Consider the following 20,339-nt stretch of genomic DNA (forward strand, 5'->3'; position numbering starts at 1 on the left):
TTACTCATTTCTCTAGTAGGAGAAAGTGGGGGAGGAGAGGAAAGATGGCAAGGTTTTTTATTATTATTATTCATTCACACTTAATAAAGCAAAGCATAACGCTGATTTTTTTTTTTTTTTTTTTTTTTTTGAGATGGAGTCTCACTCTGTCGCCCAGGCTGGAGTGCAATGGCGTAATCTTGGCTCACTGCAACCTCTGCCTTAGCCTCCAGAGTAGCTGGGATTATAGGCGCACACCACCACGCCTGGCTAATTTTTGTATTTTTTAGTAGAGACGGGGTTTTGCCATGTTGGCCAGGTTGGTCTCAAACTCCCGACCTCAGGTGATCTACCCGCCTCGGCCTCCAAAAGTGCTAGGATTACAGGCGTGAGACACCATGCCCAGCCAACCCTGATATTTAAAAATAACATATCTCGGTTGCAGTGAGCCGAGATTGTGCCACTGTACTCTAGCCTGGGCAATGGAATGAGATCCTGTCTTAAAAAAAAAAAAAAAAAGTAAAAGAAAAAAAGAGTTGACTACACTAAGATGGATGGTGAAGATGTTTTGCTGCTATTTGGTAAAATAATAATAATAATAAAGGGGTCAGCGTGGTGGCTCACACTTGTAATCCCAGTACTTTGGGAGGCTGAGGCAGGAGGATCGCTTGAGCCCAGGGGTTCAAGACCAGCCTGAGCAACATAGCAAGACCCCGTCTCTACAAAACATTAAAACATTAGCCAGGTGTGGTGAGTGCACCTGTAATCCCAGCTACTTGGGAGGCTAAGGCGGGAGGATCCCTTGAGCCCAGGAGTTCAAGGCTGCAGTGAGTTGTGATCACACCACTGCACTCCAGCCTGGGCAACAGAGCAAGACCCTGTCTCTAAAGCACATTAAAATAATGATAATCATCATAAAAAGCAAATGGTCAGGAAATTGCTCCCACTCACGTTCATGGTTCCATTGATCTCTGCCACCGACTCATCATCTGTAGGAAACTGATAGATCTGGACTCCGTTGCTGACAAGCTCGCTGGTGATTTTGATTTTGAACTTTGTTAGCTCACTCTTCGAAATGGCATCTGCTTTGGCAATGATGGGGATGATGTTCACCTAGGGAGAGGAGGGGCAAAGTGGGGTCATTGTTGGTAACCTGCAACTGATAGCAGCATGACCTAGGACTTCCACCAGCTGCCAGAGGGAGCCGCTCAGCCCAGTGGTCAAAGACTGGCCACTTCTGTAGCCAAATGACAATATAATAAACGACAAGTACTAACTATGTGCTGGGCACTGAACTAAGTGCTTTACATGAATTAGCACAATTAATCCTGACAATAACCCTTCCAGGAGGTATTATTACTACTATTTTGCCAATGAGAAATTAAGGCATAGGGAGGTTAAGTAACTTGTCCAAGGCCATGGAGCAGGTAAGTAGGAGAACTGGGATTCAAATCCAAACTCAGCCTTATTCCTAAGTCCATAGTCTTAAGCATGAGCTGTCTACCAGTTCAGATCCAAGTTGATGAGCTGTATGTTATCTTGGTATCAAGGTTACTGCTTGGGAGACTTGAAGCAGAAAGGTGATAGCTGGGAATCTGTGGCTGACAGGGGAGAGGTGGCCTCTTCTTGCTAAGAGTAAATTGTCCCAACCCATCGGGTCTAGTCTAGCCCAAGCCGGGTGTGATATGGACCCACATGAGAGATGGCAGGGAAAGGAGGCAGGGACAGTGCTCAGTGAGGATGCACACCTGGCTCTCTTTCTGGCAGGAGACACTGAATAATCAACTCAGTTAGGTGAGGAAGAACCTATAGTTACAATTTGATCTGAGACTTATGCAAAAAGAATTATACTGCCTGAGTCTCATGATTAATTTCTGAGTAAGAAAAGCAAGTATAAATGCCCAATTTCAGGCATCAGGAGAAAGAACTAATCCCAACCAAAAGTTCAATCCACCTGAACCCTAATCCTTGAAATTCCTCCAAGAAGGGACAAGGCTTTTACTGTCAGAAGGTAAAGAAACTTGAAATGCACATGTGTTTGTGAGACAGAGCACACTAAGTTCAGGTTGACATGGAGAGCATAATCATTCCTGCCAGTAGACTCCAACGGGGGGTGGGGGAGGGGCATAGGTGGCACTCAGGCCCCGGACTCTAAAAGGGGAGTCTGGGAGCTCCAGACGTGGAAGAAAAATCCTGCTTCCTCTGCGCTTTGGCTTAGGAGTGCCTCTGAAGGCTGATATCACACAGCCGCTGGGTCAAGGAAAGACTGAACCGTGGAGGCACCTCCCTTGAAGTCTTTCAGGGGCAGAAGGGTCAAAGCCCTTGCCAAGATGAAACAGCAGGCAGAGCCTATTCTCCTTGGCACTTTCGCCAAGTCCCCATTGACACACTATAAACATATATCAGGCCAGGGGCAGTGGCTCATGCTGCTAATCCAAGCACTTTGGGAGGCCAAGGTGGGCAGATCACCTGAGGTTGCGAGTTCGAGACCAGCTTGGCCAACATGGTGAAACCCCGTCTCTACTAAAAATAAAAAGTATCCAGGCATGGTAGTGCATGCCTATAATCCCAGCTACTCGGGAGGCTGAGGCAGGAGAATTGCTTGAACCCAGGAGGCGGAGGTTGCGGTGAGCCAAGATCGTGCCATTGCACTCCAGTCTGGGCAACAAGAGTGAAAGTCCGTCTCAAAAATAAATAAATAAATAAATATATATGTATCTATCTATCTCAAAGGCTTAACTCGGCCCATCCACCAGGCCTGCAGCCATGTGGCTCACCAATGCCCCTATACAGGACATGCAGGGCATGGCCACATTTCAAGAGCAGCCTTTTATTCATGGGCCATGAGCCTATTGCTGCAAAAAATGAAAAACTGCTCCTATTCTGATGAGAGCTGAAATTCAGTCTTAGAGTGGATGTGCTACTAAATGGCTGCATGTGAATTCGATTATTTTTTTGATACGGAGTCTGGCTGTGTCGCCCAGGCTGGAGTGCAGTGGAATGATTCCAGCTCACTGCAACCTCCGCTTCCAGGTTCAAGCGATTCTCCTGCTTGAGCCTCCCCAATAGCTGGGATTATAAATGCGCACCACCATGCCCAGTTAATTTTTGTATTTTTAGTAGAGACGGGATTTCGCCATGTTGGCCAGGCTGGTCTCGAACTCCTGACCTCAGATGACCCGCCTATCTTGGCCTCCCAAAGTGCTGGGATTACAGGTGTGAGCCACCGCACCCAGCCAAGTTTTTCTTAAAGGAAGACAACGCCTGATTCCCACAGCCATCTTTCTCGGGCATGGAAGCATTATAACATGGGGTCACAGATCTGAGTGTCACAGAATCTGCACTCTACCAGTAGCTAGCAATATGACAATGAGCAAGTCACTTAACCTCTGAGAGCCTCAGTTTTCTCTTCTGTAAAATGAAGATAACAATAATGTGTACTTCACGGGGCTGGCATATAATGAGGGTTTTAATGTTAACTGCAATCATAAAAGTAATTATTGATAGCAAGAATAACTTTCAAAGTCAAGTTTGCATGTTTGATTCTAGCCAGTTAACATTCGGACAAAGAAAAAAACAGCTTTCCATTGCCAAAGCCTTTGCCCCTAGACCCAGGGAGCCATCTTGCTAGTCCCCAAGAGGGATCAGGGCAGAAAGACAGCTCAGGGCAAGCCCATCCCTAGTGCTGGGAAAACAGATCACAAAGCTTACGACGCTGGTGCTGGATCCGTAACACCATCTTTATGGAGGGACAGGGAATGAGGGAGAGGATGAGGATGCCACAAATCTCTCCCGGAATCCCACATCTACTTTGCACAAGAGATCAGTAAGAGTGAGCCCCCAGCGCCCCCGCCCCTGCCTCCTATACCTTACTGTCCAGCTTCTTCATAGTCACTAGGTCCAGAGACTTCAGGGAATGACCCGTGGGGGCAATGAAATACAAGCAGACATGGATTCGGGAGTCATGGTAGGTGTGTAGCACTCTTCGGATCTTTAGCTCTTCCTGCAGGTAGGCCTCGAATTGTGCATCGATGAATTCCACGATAGGCTTGTAGCTAAAAGGGAGAGCAGGGACAGAGGCGGATCCCGTCAAAAACTTGGATTTTGACACCGTCCTTTTTGGAAGTTTCAAATGCCCTCTGTAATCTTGACTCTCTCCCATCCAACTGCATTTCTCCATCTCCCTTCAGTGGGCCTCCAATCTTGTCAGCCTGGCCACCTTCTTGGTCCCTACATGAGCCAAACTTATGCCCATCTGTGCACCTTCACTAGAATGCCCCTTTCTCTCTCCTCATCCCAATTCTGCCCTCCCAGACCTCAGGGCTCAGCTTAATGTCCTCCTCCTTCCTACGGCCTTCCCCACTTATGCCAGAAATCCCTTCTGCGAGTCAGGGGCATAACAAGAAATGGCATTCAATTACTTATTGTTGCTTCACAAGGATTCTCTCAAATAGATTGTGCCTTCCTAAAGAGCAGGGCCTGTGAAGGGCACTTGTCTGTCCCTCGGGGGGCCCCAACACAGCATGGAGCCCACTGGCTGTATCTGTAGAGGGACTGATTTTCCTCCAAGCTGGGCTCATGTCTTTGCTCCCTTTATCTCGCCCTACAGTGCCTAGATGAGAGCTGGGTACACAGTGGGTAACAAGACCTCTCTTTGGCCCACTGCTGGGCAATCTTGTGAGAACATTCAGGGCTTTTGCTCATTCTCGCTAGGTTTAGCGGAGCTCCACACTTGGCTCCCCCAAGGTCAAGATATTTTTCTGATTCTCATTTCTGCCAAGGTGGTGACTTTAAGTATTCAGGCCAGGCACAGTGGATCATGGCTCGTAATCCCAGCACTTTGGGAGGCTGAGACGGGCGGATCTTCTGAGCTCAGGATTCGAGACCAGCCTGGGCAACACGGCAAAACTTCGTCTCTACTAAAAATACAAAAATTAGCCAGCTGTGGTAGCTCATGCCTGTAATCCCAGCTACTCAGGAGGCTGAGGCAGGAGAATCGCTTGAACCCGGAAGGCAGAGGTTGCAGTGAGTGGAGATCATGCCACTGCACTCCAGCCTGGGCAACAGAGTGAGACCCCATCTCCAAAAACAAACAAACAAACAAACAAAGTATTCAGGCAAAATCTGGTAAAGCTACTCCCCTCCGCACACCCTGCACACATGGACACAGGCCCGCCAGCTCACTGAGTCTCCACACGCGGCTCCTCTAGGTGGCCCCCAAGTCTTGCCAAGGCTTCTTAAACAACAGTCAGCCCTCTATGTCTCTCTTTCCTGGGCCTCCCTGGGAAACTTCCCTCTCCCTCTGTCCCAGTCCCCTCCCACGTCATCCCCGTCACCCCTACGGCCTCTTTCTGCTCTAACTAGGTCAGCTTAGCTCAGCTCTGCCTCTTGTTCTCATCTCCCCTGTCTGTCTGCTGCCTCTCTGGCTGAGGGGGTGCCTCCCTTCAGGCTAGAAGAGGCTTGTCATGTGGGCCCAGGGCAGGGAGTTTTCAGATACCGCTGCCAGAAGGGAACATGATGATCAAAGGAGGAGCTGAGCCCAGCCAATGCCTCCCACCTGCAGCAGCTCCCAGGCTGAGCCTTTCTGAAAGATCCCCCTAGTAGAGAAGGGGAAAATAGCCTTTTAAGAAAGAATCACAGGATCCTAGATTCTGAGAGCTGCAGCCAGAGCTGAGATCCAGGTGCAGGCTATCTCTGGAGCCCCAGAGAAAAATCTTTTTTTTTAAGATGGAGTTTCGCTCTGTTGCCCGGGCAGGAGTGCAGTGGTGCGATCTCCACTCACTGCAACCTCTGCCTCCCAAGCCCCAGAGAAAACTCTAAAAACATAGTCCTTTCTTTATTCCTTTGATCCCTCCGAGCCACTGTTCCGAAGGGTAATCGCATCAAAGAATCTCTTGGTTGCAAAGATCCTTAGAAGGTTCCTGACGAATTTGGAGTGAGGGTGGGGAATGTATCCCCTAGGCTTATTTAATTAATTTTTGGATGTTTTGCTGATTTGAAATAGTTGATGATGGCACTGCTTCATTTTTTTTCTCAATTACGTAATTTTTTTTTACTTCATTTTTTGCTTTGCAGAAGGAATCAGAGGAAAGAAAATAAAGCTAAAAAGTGCATTTTTTAGCTCCCCCACACACCCCGAAATCTGTAGTGATACCCTGTGCCTGTCTTACTGCAATTGCCTCTGGCTCTCGGAAGCTCTCAAGATGTACATGGATCAGACCAGCCAAACCAGCCAATCAGCCACCAGGATTTGGTGTAGACGAATCCTAAATGGGTGGCTTATCTTCGTCTTATTCATCTCTGTATCCTCCACGTCTAGCCTGCTGTCTGGAACATAGTAAAGTTTCCGCTACTGCTCTGCATTCCCTCCACCCCCAGGCCCCAGTGACTCATCTTCCCACGGTGGCCACCTCTCTCCCACACTCTGTTGTGCTGCTCACTGGACTCCAGTGGGTGGTAAACAAAATCCTTTACTCTTATAGGCTACCTCCTCCCAAACTGCTTCCTTCCTCTAAGTGACACCTGACTATCCTTCAGAGATGCTGCTTTTCTCATATCCTTCTCAACTGGAAATTTCTTCATCTCCACACCCAAGTCCCATGGAAGGGCAGAGAGGGCAGCTTTCTTCTAGCTCTTGATTCCCTCGCTCACTGTGATCTCCTCATCTCCTCCATTTTCGACCAAAACCAGCTCCAACAGACTCCATCCCTCCCCATCACTACTGATAATCTTTGACATTTCAAGACAGCCGTTCTTAACACAGGGTTCATGGACCTCCTAGGTTCTGTGAATAGAATTCAGAGGATCTGTGAACTTAGATAGGAAAAAAATACATCTTTTTCACTAATCTCTAACTGAAGTTTAGCAGTTTCTTCAGCTGCAGACATAGGTAACAATCTATAGTAATGTTAGCAGTACCTGTGATTTCATAACCAATAGAAATCACTGATATCATCATTTCCCATTCCAGTTGTTGTAAATAGCTCAAAATAGCATTTATACTCATTACAACATTCAAATTCTGGTAATTATTAAGCCTGCATATAGATATTATTACTTCTGGAATTGATAGAGAAGCACATGGATTGCTAAGTCACAATTTTTAAATATTTTAGTAACTGTATTTTTAGTATACTTGGTATATTTTAGGCATTTAAAAACATTATTTTGAGAATGAGCCCATAGGCCTCACTAGATTGCTAACGGGGCCAATGGCACAAAATAACCCCTGGTCTAGACAATAATACTTATTCATTTCGGATAATGATATGTACTATGAAGATACTCCAATAGGATAATGGGATATACATGTGATTGAGGGTTCAACTACTTTAAATACAGTGATCAGGGAAGGCTTCTCTAAGGGTGTGACATTTGAGCCGCAAGGATGAGGATGACAGAGCCATGGAGAGATCTGGGTGAAGAGCATTCCAGGCAGTGGGAATAATAAATGTGAGGATGGTTCTGAGGCAGAAACCAGTCTGACAGGTTTGAGCAATGGGAAGACGGCCAGGGAGGTGGGACTTGGTGAACCCAGCTTGAGTAAATTATTCACAGTAGCCCAAAGGTGGAAACAACCCAAATGTCCATCAACTGATGACCGGATAAAGAAAATGTGGAGGCCAGGCGCAGTGGCTCACGCCTGTAATCCCAGCACTTTGGGAGACCAAGGTGGGCGGATCACGAGGTCAGGAGTTCGAGACCAGCCTGATCAACAGGGTGAAACCCCGTCTCTACTAAAAATATAATAATTAGCTGGGCATGGTGGCGTGCGCCTGTAATCCCAGCTACTCAGAAGGCTGAGGCAGGAGAATTGCTTGAACCGAGGAGGCGGAGGTTGCGGTGAGCCAAGATTGAGGCACTGCACTCCAGCCTGGGCGACAGAGTGAGACTCCGTCTCAAAAAATAATTAAATAAATAAAATAAAATAAAGAAAATGTGAAAATGTGGAGGCCAGGTGGGGTGGCTCACACCCATAATCTCAGCACTTTGGGAGGCCGAGGCAGGCGGATTACCTGAGGTCAGGAGTTCGAGACCAGCCCTGCCAACACAGTGAAACCCCGTCTCTACTAAAAATACAAAAATTAGCCAGGCATGGTGGTAGGCACCTGTAGTCCCAGCTACTCGGGAGGCTGAGGCAGGAGAATTGCTTGAACCTGGGAGGCGGAGGTTGCAGTGAGCCGAGATCGCACCACTGCACTCCAGCCTGGGCAACGGAGTGAGATTCCGTCTCAAAAAAAAAAAAAACAAAACAAAAAAACTGTGCCTTATTTCTTAGTATCTCTGACACTTCACACTGTACTTGTCACATAGTAGACATTTAAGTTTATAAAGTGGACTAGGTTTCCACGGCAACTTGGTTCTCAGTCTTGTCAATTCTCTCAAATCTGCCCCTCCTCTCTATCCTCAAAGCTTCTCTTCCTGTTCAAGCCCTCATCATCTCTCCCATCCTCAAGAGTTGCCCCTGACCTCCTTGTCCCCCTCTAGACATGGCCTTGTGTATTTCTCCCAGCTCAGACAAGCTTTCTTTTTTATCTATTTTTTAGAGACGAGGCCTCGCTCTATTGCCCATGCTGGAGAACAATGGCATGATCATAGCTCACTGTGACCTCGAACTCATGAGCTCAAGCGATTCTCCTGCCTCAGCCTTCTGAGTATCTGGGACTACAGGCACACACCACCACACCTGGCTAATTTTTTATTTTTGTGTAGAGACGGGGTCTCTTTATGTTATCCAGGCTGGTCCTGAACTTTTGGGCTCAAGTGATCCTTCTACCTTGGCCCCACAAAGTGTTGGGATTAGAGGTAAGAGCCACCGCGCTTAACCTAAATTTATTTATGCAAGAACACCTATTCTCGACCGGGTGCGGTGGCTCACGCCTGTAATCCCAGCACTTTGGGAGGCCGAGGCAGGCGGATCATGAGGTCAGGAAATCAAGACCATCCTGGCTAACACGGTGAAACCCCGTCTCTACTAAAAATACAAAAAAAATTAGCCGGGCGTGGTGGTGGGCGCCTGTAGTCCCAGCTACTCGGGCGGCTGAGGCAGGAGAATGGCGTGAACCCGGGAGGCGGAGCTTGCAGTAAGCCGAGATAGCGCCACTGCACTCCCGTCTGGGCAACAGTGCGAAAGTCCGTCTCAAAAAAATAAAAAAGAATACCGATTCTTCCTTCCTCACAGATAACCTCTATTTTCAGTTTGCTGATTATCTTTCCAGACCTTTTTCTATGCATCTACGCACATAAATAGAGAGAAATATTTGTGGTTTTATTGGAGGGAGGGGGGCAGATTTACAGACACCGCATCGTGATCATTCTGCAACTTCTTTTTTTCACTTAACAACATATCCTGAGATCTAGCCATGTGAGTATATATCGATCTACCTCATTCTATTAAACTGCCAAACACAATTCCATGGTATGGTAATTCCACAGTTTATTTAATTGCTCTGTTGGTAGAAATTTAGACTGTTTAAATTGTTTTTCATTCAATAACCAAAGCTACAGTGAACATGCTTTCTCTATGCTTCTCAGGAGCATGTGCAACTGTTTCTCTAGGCTGTATACTTAAAAGGTGGAACTGCTGGGTCATAAATTATTCACATTTAAAATTTTAATAGATACTGCCAAATTTGCCCTCCAAGAAGTCTATATCAATTTACAGTCCCATCAACGTGAATGAAATTACCTCGTGTTAGTGGATATTATACCATCCTTTTGTTTTTGCAGATCTGATGGATAAAAAATATTTGTTTCATTTTGCATTTCTTTAATTACTGGGGAAGTTGAATGACCATCATTTCATATGTTGATTGTACATAAGTATTTCCCCTTCTGTAAATTATTTGTTTATTTCTCATTGAATTGTAGAAGCTCTTTTTCCATTTTAGAAGAATCCTTTGTCTGTTATTTAGGCAGCAAATATCTTCTCCCCATCTGTAGCTTGTTTGTACTTTTGTTTATGGTATCTTTCAATACAAAAGGGTTTTTTATTTTAATGAATTTAAATCCATCAGTCTTTTCTTCTATGACTTTTGAATTTTGTGTCATGATTGGAAAAGCCTTCTCTACCCCCAAAGTTATAAAAATATTCTCTGATGTTTTCTCCTTATATTTTTAGAAATCTGTTTTTAGTCCAATGGGAATCTATTTTTGTGAATGGTGTTTGTGTGAGAGGGTCTCGTTTTATTTTTTTCCTAAATAGATGGCCTATTTTCCCAGCATCATCTCCTGAATAGTCCATTCTTCCCCTGCTGACTTACATATGCTAAATTTCCATATGAGCAGGAATCTGGTCTTAGACTGACTTTTCTGTTCCATTGCTCTTTTTGCTCTTCTGATGCCTTTACATGCTTACTTTCCATTCACTCAGCAATCACGGTAATCTGGCTTCCACCCACAGTTCCCCTCGAATTATTATTCTGAAATGTATTACTGACCTTCATATCACCAAACCCAAAGAATATTTTGCAGTTCTCGTCTTCCTGGATACCATGTATCATTCCTTCCCATATACTACATGATTTAGCTGTTCCTTGATTCTTCTATCAATAAAAATCATGATCATAATATCTTCAGTTTATGAGGCAGTTACTCTGTGCCAGGTGTTTAAGCATTTCATATTCCACACATGTCAAATGTGCTTCACCACAACTCTCTAAGGTAGGTAGTATTATTATTATCATCCATCATTATCATCCCCATTTTACAGATGAGAAAACTGAGGCATAGAAAATTTAAGTACCTTGTTCAAGATCCCTGGGCTAAAAAGACAGCAAGATGAAATTTGAACCCAGGTCTGAGACCAAAGCCTAGGTTCCTAAGCACTCCCCTCTCCAGCTTGTCCTTCTCAGTCTCTCCCTTAAATCCCCTTTTCTCCAGCATCCTTTTTTATTTTTATTTTTTGAGATGGAGTCTCACTCTGTTGTCTAGGCTGGAGTGCCATGGCGCGATCTCAGCTCACTGCAACCGCCACCTTCCGGGTTCAAGCAATTCTTGTGCCTCAGCCTCCCGAGTAGCTGGGATTACAGGCACATACCACCATGCCCAGCTAATTTTTTGTATTTTTAGTAGAGACGGGGGTTTCACCATGTTGGCCAGGCTGGTCTTGAACTCCTGGCCTCAAGTGATCCACCCACCTTGGCCTTCCAAAGTGCTGGAATTACAGGCTTCAGCCACTGTGCCCTGCCTCCAGCATCCTTTAAATGGTAGCTTTCCGCAGTATCCGGCCTTAGTCATTCCTCTTCCTAGTTTATGCATGAGCCCTTGTAAAGCGGGATATTCTAATGCCTTGTTTCAATGATGCTTCACTGACATATCTATGCTAACATGGCCCTAACAGCATGAAGAAAACACTGCTTTTTATTACAGATCCCTGGAGCTTACTCCACCCCTGCTCCTCAGTGCAATTTCAAGGAGGCTTTTCATTTCTACTTATTTGATTTATTATAAGTATGTATCACATTTATAATCGGGAAGAAACAATAGGGATATCTTAAAACTATAACGGAAGTAGATTTGCCTCTGAGGCGCAGTATCTGTTCAGTCCTCCCAAGCCATTATTATCAAGGCATTGTCCAATGTTAGATATGTTGAATGTATGTAACTGAAAGAACTGTAAGAAATGTAATTGAAGTTTCTGAGCAATCTGCAGCTGAGATTAAGCACTCATATTGTGGCCCAAATATCCTTTCTCCAAAGTTTAATTTATTCTCAACCAAACAAGATTAGCACAATAAGCATGCCTATAAAAAGCAGAGGTGGCCAGGCACAGTGGCTCATGCCTGTAATCCCAGCAATTTAGGAAGCCAAGGCGGGGGTGAGCGGGGGGGATCACTTGAGGTCAGGAGTTCGAGACCAGCCTGGTCAACATGGTGAAACCCCATCTCTACTAAAAATACAGAAAAATTAGCAGGGTGTGGTGGTGCGTGACTAATTCCACCTACTCTCGGGAGGCTGAGGCAGGAGAATCACTTGAACCCAGGAGGCGGAGGTTGTAGTGAGCTGAGATTGTGCCACTGCACTTCAGCCTGGGTGACAGAGTGTGACTCCATCTCAAAAAAAAAAAAAAAAAAAAAAAAAAAGCAGAGATGTCTTTTTTCTAGAATTTCAAATGCAAAACAGAACTCAGTTCCATTATTAAGAAGCTATATATATTTGGCTGGGCACGGTGGCTCACACCTGTAATCCTAGCACTTTGGGAGGTCAAGGAGGGTGGATTATGAGGTCAGGAGATTGAGACCAACATGGCTAACACAGTGAAACCCCATCTCTACTAAAAATACAAAAAAAAAAAATTAGCTGGGTGTGGTGGCACGAGCCTGTAGTCCCAGCTACTCGGGAGGCTGAGGCAGGAGAATGGCGTGAACCCAGGAGGCGGAGCTTGCAGTGAGCTGAGATCACACCACTGCGCTCCAGCCTGGGCAACAGAGCGAGACTCCGTCTCAAAAAAAATAAAATAAAATAAAAAGAAGCTACATATATTTATTCATTATAAGGAAGTGAGTGTGGCTGTTGTAGCTTTAAGGGGGAAATAAAAGAATTTGACATAAAGTTCACCTAAGAAGCAAGAGAATCCTGAAAGAATGAGAAGACCCTCTGCTTAAAATGATGAATGGCCCTTTCTGAAATGAGCACATGTGATAACCATGTGACTTCTGGTTAAATGCAGATGGTACCTGACCCCACCCCTCATCACATTCCCATCTCTGAGCCTCACCTAGTCTTCACTCACACACATTCTCAACCCCCTACATCTTTCTGTTTTGTTTTGAGACAGAGTCTTGCTCTGCCGCCCAGGCTGGAGTACAGTGGCGCAATCTCAGCTCACTGCAACCCTGCCTCCCGGATTCAAGTGATTCTCCCGCCTCAGCCACCTGACTAGCTGGAATTACAGGCACCCGCCATCACACCCGCCTAATTTTTGTATTTTTAGTAGAGACGGGGTTTCATGATGTTGGCCAGGCTGGTCTTGAATTCCTGACTTCAAGTGATCTGCCCGCCTCGGCCTCCCAAAGTGCTGGGATTACAGGCGTGAGCCACCTTGCCTGGCCCCCCAACATCTTTCCTGTCCCCCCTCCTACCTGTCAGCTTATTCCTGTTCAGTCCCTTTTCAGGATGTCTTTTCCTCCATCTATTGACTTAGCATCCTGAGGTTTTTGTCTTTAGCCCAGTGTTCTTCTTACTCTACTCTGATCCCTGGGTGATTTTACATGTGTCCATGGTTGGAACATATCACCTCTACCTTGATAACCCAATCTATTTCTAGCCTCTTCTCATCTCCAATTCTGTGTGTTCAACTGCCTACTGCTGAAGGTCATCGCGTATCTCAGTATTCCTCAGACAGATCAAACTTGACATGTCCAAAACAGAGCTGATTATTTTGAACCCTGGTTCTCTTACGGAATGCCATCACCATGTGTCCACTCTCCAAAGCTGGAAATTTGGGCCTCATTCTAGATTTTTCTTTTGCCTTCACAACCCCACACCAAGTGCCTACCAAGTCCTGTTGATATTTACCTACTCAGTATTTAGCAAATCTGTCTCCTCTTCCCTATCTCAGCACCTATTTTACCTCTTGCCTTGATCATAAATCCTTCTGTGATCTGGCACCTGCTTACCTCTTCAGCCTCATCTCACCGTTTTTTCCCCAAGCTTACTCCAAGTGTTAGCCCAGGGGCAGAACCAGGTTTTTCCAGCCCTTAGGCTTATGCAATCTGAAAGACTCTCTGAGGAAAATAATACGACATTGTGATTGAACATTAGTTACAGAGCTTTGGAAGGGGCCTGTGCAATCTTCATTAGCTTCACAGTGACTCTGCCTCTGTCTAGCCAAAGAGAGCAAGCTACACTTCCCTAGAACATACCAGAATCCTACACATCACTTTGCCTTTATACAGGCAGTTACTTCTGCCTGAGATGCCCCTCTCTCCATTCCCTTGTCTGTCTGGCAAAACAGTTCGTCCTTCAAGAGTCAGCTCAGGAGGCACATCCTTTGTGAAGGCTTCCCTGACCTCCCTACGTGGAATTGATGGTTCTCGCCTTTGTGTTCTCATTGTAACTTGTCCTTTATCTCTTTGTACCCTGTCCTTTACAGAACATCTTATACTCTATGGAAATTATTTGCTTAAAACCGGTTTTGCCTATGAGTCCCTCAAGGGCAGAGACTAAGCCATTCCTTTTTAGATGGTCAGAGCTCGACAGTACCTGGCGCAAGGTAGGAGCTCAATAAATGTTTGCTGCATGGAATTGAGACCTGACCCATGTATACTAGAAAGACACCCTTCTTTTGGCAAAGTGAGTGGAGTGGAACAGTTGCTGTAGACAGGGACACCAGACAGGGCCTATGCTTGGGAGGTACCTGCTGCTGCCCACACCATTCTGGGAGGACAGGCTTGGGCCCGATATCTGTGCTGTCTTCAAGATCTCTGTGGTGAGCTCCTCTCTGCGGCCCTCTACCAACCTCCCCACCCTACCCCACCCCACCGCCTTCTTTACCTGTCCTCTTTGTTGATCTGGTCCCCAAAGCCAACTGTGCTAACGATCGTGAGCTTTAGCCTCACGTTGCTCTCTTGGAGGTCATAGGTATTAGACTGGAGCTGGACACCCGGCTGTGTGTGGGTGGCTGGCTCCCCTTCGAATTTGGTGTTGAACAGGGTGTCCATGAGGGTGGACTTGCCCAAACCTGTCTCTCCTGAAAAGCAAAAGGATAAATTATGGTCTGTTCACATAGTGACTATTCAGCCCTTACACATCATGTTTCATATACACATTTGTTGACACGGGAAAATGAACATGATAAAACATAAAGCAAAAAGCAGAAGCAGATGAACTATATGATGTCAGTTAAATGAAAAAGACTGAAAGGAACTATACAGACGGATCAGTAGTAGTCATCTCAGATAGTAGAATTGAGGTAATTTTCATTTTATTCTTCCAACTTTTTTCTGTCATTTGGAAATTTTACCTTGAGTATACATTGTTTTTTTTGTTGTTGTTTGTTTGTTTGTTTGTTTTTGAGACAGAGTCTTGCTCTGTCACCCAGGTTAGAGTGCAGTGGCATGACCTCGGCTCACTGCAACCTCCATCTCCCGGGTTCAAGCGATTCTCCTACCTCAGCCTCCCGAGTAGCTGGGATTACAGGCACCCGCCACCGTGCCCAGCTAATTTTTGTATTTTTAGTAGAGATGGGGTTTCACCATCTTGGCCAGGCTGGTCTCAAACTCCTGACCTCATGATCCACCCGCCTCGGCCTCCCAAAGTGCTGGGATTATAGGCGTTAGCCACCGCACCTGGCCAAGTATACGTTGCTTTTATAGTCAGAAAAAGAAATTATGTTATAGGCAGCAATGGAGAGATATAGCTATGCCTAGAAAAAAAGACTGGGAGGAAATACAATATACTCTTACCAATGGCTATCTCTGAGTGGTGATCTTATGTGTGGTTTTCATCCCTTTCTTTATGCTTTTTTATATTTCCCAAGTTTTCTAAGTGGAATATGTATAGTTTTTGTCATAAAAATTAGAGGACTATTTTAAATTTTTTTAAAAAATGACAGCAGTGGCCAGGCGTGGTGGCTCACACCTGTAATCCTAGCACTTTGGGAGGCTGAAGCAGGCAGATCACTTGAGGTCAGGCATTCGAGACCAGCCTGGCCAACATTGTGAAACCCTGTCTCTACCAAAAAATATATATATACATACACAATTTAGCCAGGCATGGTGGCAGGCGCCTGTAATCCCAGCTACGGAAAGGCTGAGGCAGGAGAATTACTTGAACCAGGGGAGGCAGAGGTTGCAGTGAGCTGAGATCGTGCCACTGCACTCCACCCTGGGCAAGAGAGTGAGACTCCATCTCAAAAAAAAAAAAAAAAAAAAAGACAGCGGTCCCTTGTCAAACAAATATCCTTTCATCCCAGTCCCCACCTCTCCTCCCTGCCAGGCCTAAACAGCCCTCTGGGGATGCCCCAGATGTGCCTCCCCACGGTGAAAACTGTGCAGGCTCCTGGCTTATCCTCCCAGCCTGGTTGAACGGTTGAACTTTCAGTGAGACCGTTTTTAACTAAGAGGGGCGGGGTGGGGAGACCCAGCAGGCCACAAAAATTCTTCTTCTTCTTCTTCTTTTTTTTTTTTTTTTTTGATACAGCGTCTCGCTCTGTTGCCCAGGCTGGAGAGCAGTGGCGCAATCTCGGCTCACTGCAGCCTCTGCCTCCCGGGTTCAAGTGATTCTCCTGCCTCAGTCTCCCAGGTAGCTGGGATTACAGGTGCCTGCCACCATGCCCTGCTAATTTTTGTATTTTCAGTAGAGATGGGGTTTCACCATGTTGGCTAGGCTGGCCTCAAACTCCTGACCTCTGGTGATCCACCTGCCTCGGCCTCCCGAAGTACTGGGATTACAGGCATGAGCCACCGTGCCCGGCCCTTATCCTTAAATTTTAAACAAACTAGCCATTTATTTGTTTAACTACTAGGCTGCGAGATACTAATAAGTCAAACTGTTGGAATTTTAAAAGTCTTGAACTTCACACTAGGGAAACCAGTAGGGGAAAGGCTGTGGCAGACTGGTGAAGGTTTTGGAAGCTTATTCCTGGGAGATCAAGGGATACCAAGCCACTGTCAGGAGCCAACAAGACTTCAGGGAATGGGACATCACAAGAAGTCAGGAGTTGGTGACAAGGGGGCTAAACAGGAATCTGATATGAGGCCACAAACTGGGCTGGGCGCTGCTTATAATCTCTACAGATCCAGGCTGTATTTGACCCCTCAGCCCACCCCAAGTGACTCAGGAATACCAGGAATTAAAGAGTCAGTAGAGAGGGCCAGGCGCGGTGGCTCACGCCTGTAATCCCAGCACTTTGGGAGGCCGAGGTGGGTGGATCACGAGGTCAGGAGATCGAGACCATCCTGGCTAACACGGTGAAACCCCGTCTCTACTAAAAAAATACAAAAATTAGCCAGGCGTGATGGTGGGTGCCTGTAGTCCCAGCTACTTGGGAGGCTGAGGCAGGAGAATGGCGTGAACCCAGGAGGTGGAGCTTGCAGTGAGCTGAGATCGCGCCACTGCACTCCAGCCTGGGCGACAGAGTGAGACTCCATCTCAAAAAAAAAAAAAAGAGTCAGTAGAGAGGCAGGCACTTCGAAGAGAGGATATCATTAATTACTCTGGCCTGCCCTTTGAAGACAAAGACTACTCTCCCATTTATTCCGCTATCATCATCCCTGTTTTTCCCTCTCCTCTCCCCAACCCAGGGGGAATGTGAGCCTCGACTTCTCTTCACAGTCGGGACTGGGTTTGCATTGGGCAAATTGTGGCCTGCCAAACCCCGCCTTGCGACCAAAAGCACACATCTGCAGGGTGGTTCAGGGCTACGGTTAGAGCTACATGATGCAGAACTGAAAATGCTCCATCTCCCCTCCCCACTCTGGGTGTGTCTAGCCTGCTTCTTTTATCCCAAATAATGAGCTATGAATGCAGGAGGTGCCTTTTAAAATATCTGTGTATGATGAGAGTTTTCTGTGTGTGGACAGAGAGAAGGGAGAGAGAGAGAAGAGATAAGAGAGAGGAGGGAGACAGGGAGAGGGAGGGAGAACAAGGAGAACATTCAATTCAGTCTGGCTACCCGGCCCCCCAGCCCAATTTCATAGCCAGGTCTGACTAACTTGGTAAATTGCCAGAGTGTGGGGAAATGGTTCCTCACACAGATCATGTTTCAAGCCAGGGTCTGCTATATCCATTAGCAGCAAAGACTCTTGAAGAAGAGGCCCCCTTTTTCCTCCCCTAAAGGAACAGGAAGTATTTGGGTCCCAAGAAGAATTTTATGAGGTGGGGCCTTTGCCATGGGAGGTGGCAGACTTGGCCAAGCAGTGGAATGTATCACACCCCACCTCACCCAAAGTTGGGGTGCACCTTAACTGCAAACGGGGCCAGCACCTTGGAGGTGGGAACACAGTGTGGCTCCCACATCCTAACTCACCTCCCCTCTCGAGGGCACTGAGGTTTGAGCTACAGTTTAGCTCATCTTCCTATGTGCCTGATGAATTTTCCATGTACATCCTTACCCCCAACTCCCTCCCATGGAACAGAAGGGAGCACATGGAACAGAACCATCCTTACCCCCAACTCCCAAAACCCTTCTGTTGCATGAGCTCCCTGCCGAATGCCCTGTAGCTCCTAGGGAGTGGGGGTCCTGTTTCCCCAGCACCCAGAGTGGGCACCCTGGCTCCCCGATCCTAAGAATTCTCAGAGAGCAGGAGATGGGCCATCTTCCAGTACCCCCGAGAGTGCCTAACCCAAGGTTCACACAGAAGGCCTCAGGGGCAGCACCGCAGCGTTGAGGGACCCACCCTGTTTGCACAGCTGGAGGAATGGGGGCCGGGCAGGGCAGGACAGGGAGCTGGGAGGAACAGCAGGAGAAATGACCACCCAAATGCCTGCTGGCACAAAAGCGCTGTGGAAATTAGATGCCAAATAATGAACGTCTGGAAGAAAAGAACACCCGGGTGTCTAGGGAATTGAGATAAATGCAATAGTAGAGAGGGCAGAAAATCAAGCGAGCTCATCCTATGGCTATCGAGAGCTCCTGTTCCAGTTTTCCATCAGTGTAGAGCCTGGGGGTCGGGGAGGCTTTCTGTCAATGACTGGCACAGACCCAGCCTGATCCTAGGATGCTGCCCCTCCCACGGCTGCCCTGGGCCCAGTACTGAGTGTGAGTGTGTTGTGAGGGGGAGGCACACGTGACCTAACTGGGATCAGGTCAGCAGATTCCACACCCCTGCAGGAAGGTGGAGACTTGGCAATTCGATTCCAGCAGGAAACCTGAGGAGTCCCGAGGGGTCAATTTCTCACTCCTCCTCCCCCAGCCCTCCCAGGGCTCCTCCAAGTGGATAGTAAGGTTTTTAACGCATGCTCCACCAGCCAAGAGGATTTCATCTCACTTTGCTTAATGTAGATAGTATTCTGGAAACAATAGTTTTAAAAAAAATTAAAACATATATGAGTACTACGAAATATGTTTTTTTTCAAACTATGCTCTTGCGGGACGGTGGCTCAGGCCTGTAATCCCAGCACTTTGGGAGGTCGAGGCGGGTAGATCACCTGAGGTCAGGAGTTGGAGACCAGCCTGGCTAACATGGTGAAATCCCGTCTCTACTAAAAATACAAAAATTAGCCGTGCATGGTGGCAGGCTCCTGTAATCCCAGCTACTCAGGAGGCTGAGGGTGGAGAATCGTTTGAACCCGGGAGGCGGAGGTTGCAGTGAGCAGAGATCTCACCACCACACTCCAGCCTGGGCGACAGAGCGAGATCCTGTCTAAGAAAGAAAGGAAAGACAGAGAGAGAGAGAGAGAGAGACAGAGAGAGAGACAGAGAAAGAAAAAGAAAAGACTTCTAGCCAGGTTATCACTAAGTTACTTTGTGACATGAACTGAGCTCTTTCCCCTCTCTGGGTCCCAGTCTCTTTTTCTATAAAATGAGAGCGTTGGTAATAACAGCTATTGTTTACAGACACTGCTCTAAGTTTTTTACATATATTTTCTTATTTATTCCTCACAGCAAGCCCATGAGGAAGATGTTACTATTTGTCCTCAATTTATAGATGGGTTAACCAAGCCACTTACTAGCTGTGTAAATTTGCACCAGTTCCTCAGCATCTCTGCACCTTACTTTCCTCATCTATAAAATGTGGAGGGGCCGGGCGCAGTGGCTCATGCCTGTAATCCCAGCACTTTGGGAGGTTGAAGCAGGAGGATCAGTTGAGGCCAGGAATTCGAGACCAGCCTGACCAACATAGACCCTGTCTCTGTTTTATTTTTTATTTCCATAGGTTTTTGGGGACAGGTGGTATTTGGTTATATGAGTAAGTTCTTTAGTGGTGATTTGTGAGATTTTGATGCACCCATCTCCTGAGCAGTATACACTGAACCCAATTTGTAGTCTTTTATTCCTCACCCCCTTCCCGCCCTTTCCCCCTGAGTCCCCAAAGTCCATTGTGTTATTCTTATGCCTTTGCATCCTTATAGCTTGGCTCCCACTTATGAGTGAGAACATACAATGTTCGGTTTTCCATTCCTGAGTTACTTCACTTAGCATAATAGGTCTATTTTGAAAACTAGTAATAATAAAATAAAATGTGGAAGAAGTAACTAGTCCAAGGTCACAAACTAGTAAGTGGCAGAGCCAGCATTTGAATCCAGGCAGGCCGACGCTGGAGTCCATGCTTTTAACCAATGTGCTCTAGCGAGACGCATAGGCGTGATACGTTTGTTCATTCAGTCATTCAACGAGTATTTACAAAGACTCTAACAGGAGCCAGGCACAGTTATAGGAGCTGCAGATACAGCAATGAACAAGATAGCCACAATCC

General features: G+C 46.5%; 1 protein-coding gene across 9 annotated transcripts in view, besides 2 other annotated features; it reads right to left on the reverse strand.

Annotated features, from left to right (window-relative positions):
- SEPTIN6 (septin 6) overlaps positions 1-20,339 on the reverse strand; it is a 77,445-nt gene that overhangs the window by 33,283 nt on the left and 23,823 nt on the right. For all 9 annotated transcript variants that reach the window (NM_145802.4, NM_145800.4, XM_011531317.4 and 6 more), the window contains exons 3-5: positions 14,476-14,671; positions 3,848-4,034; positions 931-1,092 (exon numbers count right to left, since the gene is read on the reverse strand). In NM_145802.4, the coding sequence (NP_665801.1) occupies positions 931-1,092; positions 3,848-4,034; positions 14,476-14,671 (545 nt within the window). The remainder of the gene's footprint in view (positions 1-930; positions 1,093-3,847; positions 4,035-14,475; positions 14,672-20,339) is intronic.
- Positions 6,475-6,524: an enhancer, noted in NCBI's record as "active region_29886". NCBI's record gives its function as "activates an Ori minimal core promoter by ATAC-STARR-seq in GM12878 lymphoblastoid cells {active_cell/tissue: GM12878}" and the evidence as "EXISTENCE:reporter gene assay evidence [ECO:0000049][PMID:35858748]".
- Positions 17,118-17,207: an enhancer, noted in NCBI's record as "active region_29887". NCBI's record gives its function as "activates an Ori minimal core promoter by ATAC-STARR-seq in GM12878 lymphoblastoid cells {active_cell/tissue: GM12878}" and the evidence as "EXISTENCE:reporter gene assay evidence [ECO:0000049][PMID:35858748]".

The sequence above is a fragment of the Homo sapiens genome, chromosome X, assembly GCF_000001405.40.
Source record: "Homo sapiens chromosome X, GRCh38.p14 Primary Assembly".
Classification (NCBI taxonomy): Eukaryota; Metazoa; Chordata; class Mammalia; order Primates; family Hominidae; genus Homo; species Homo sapiens.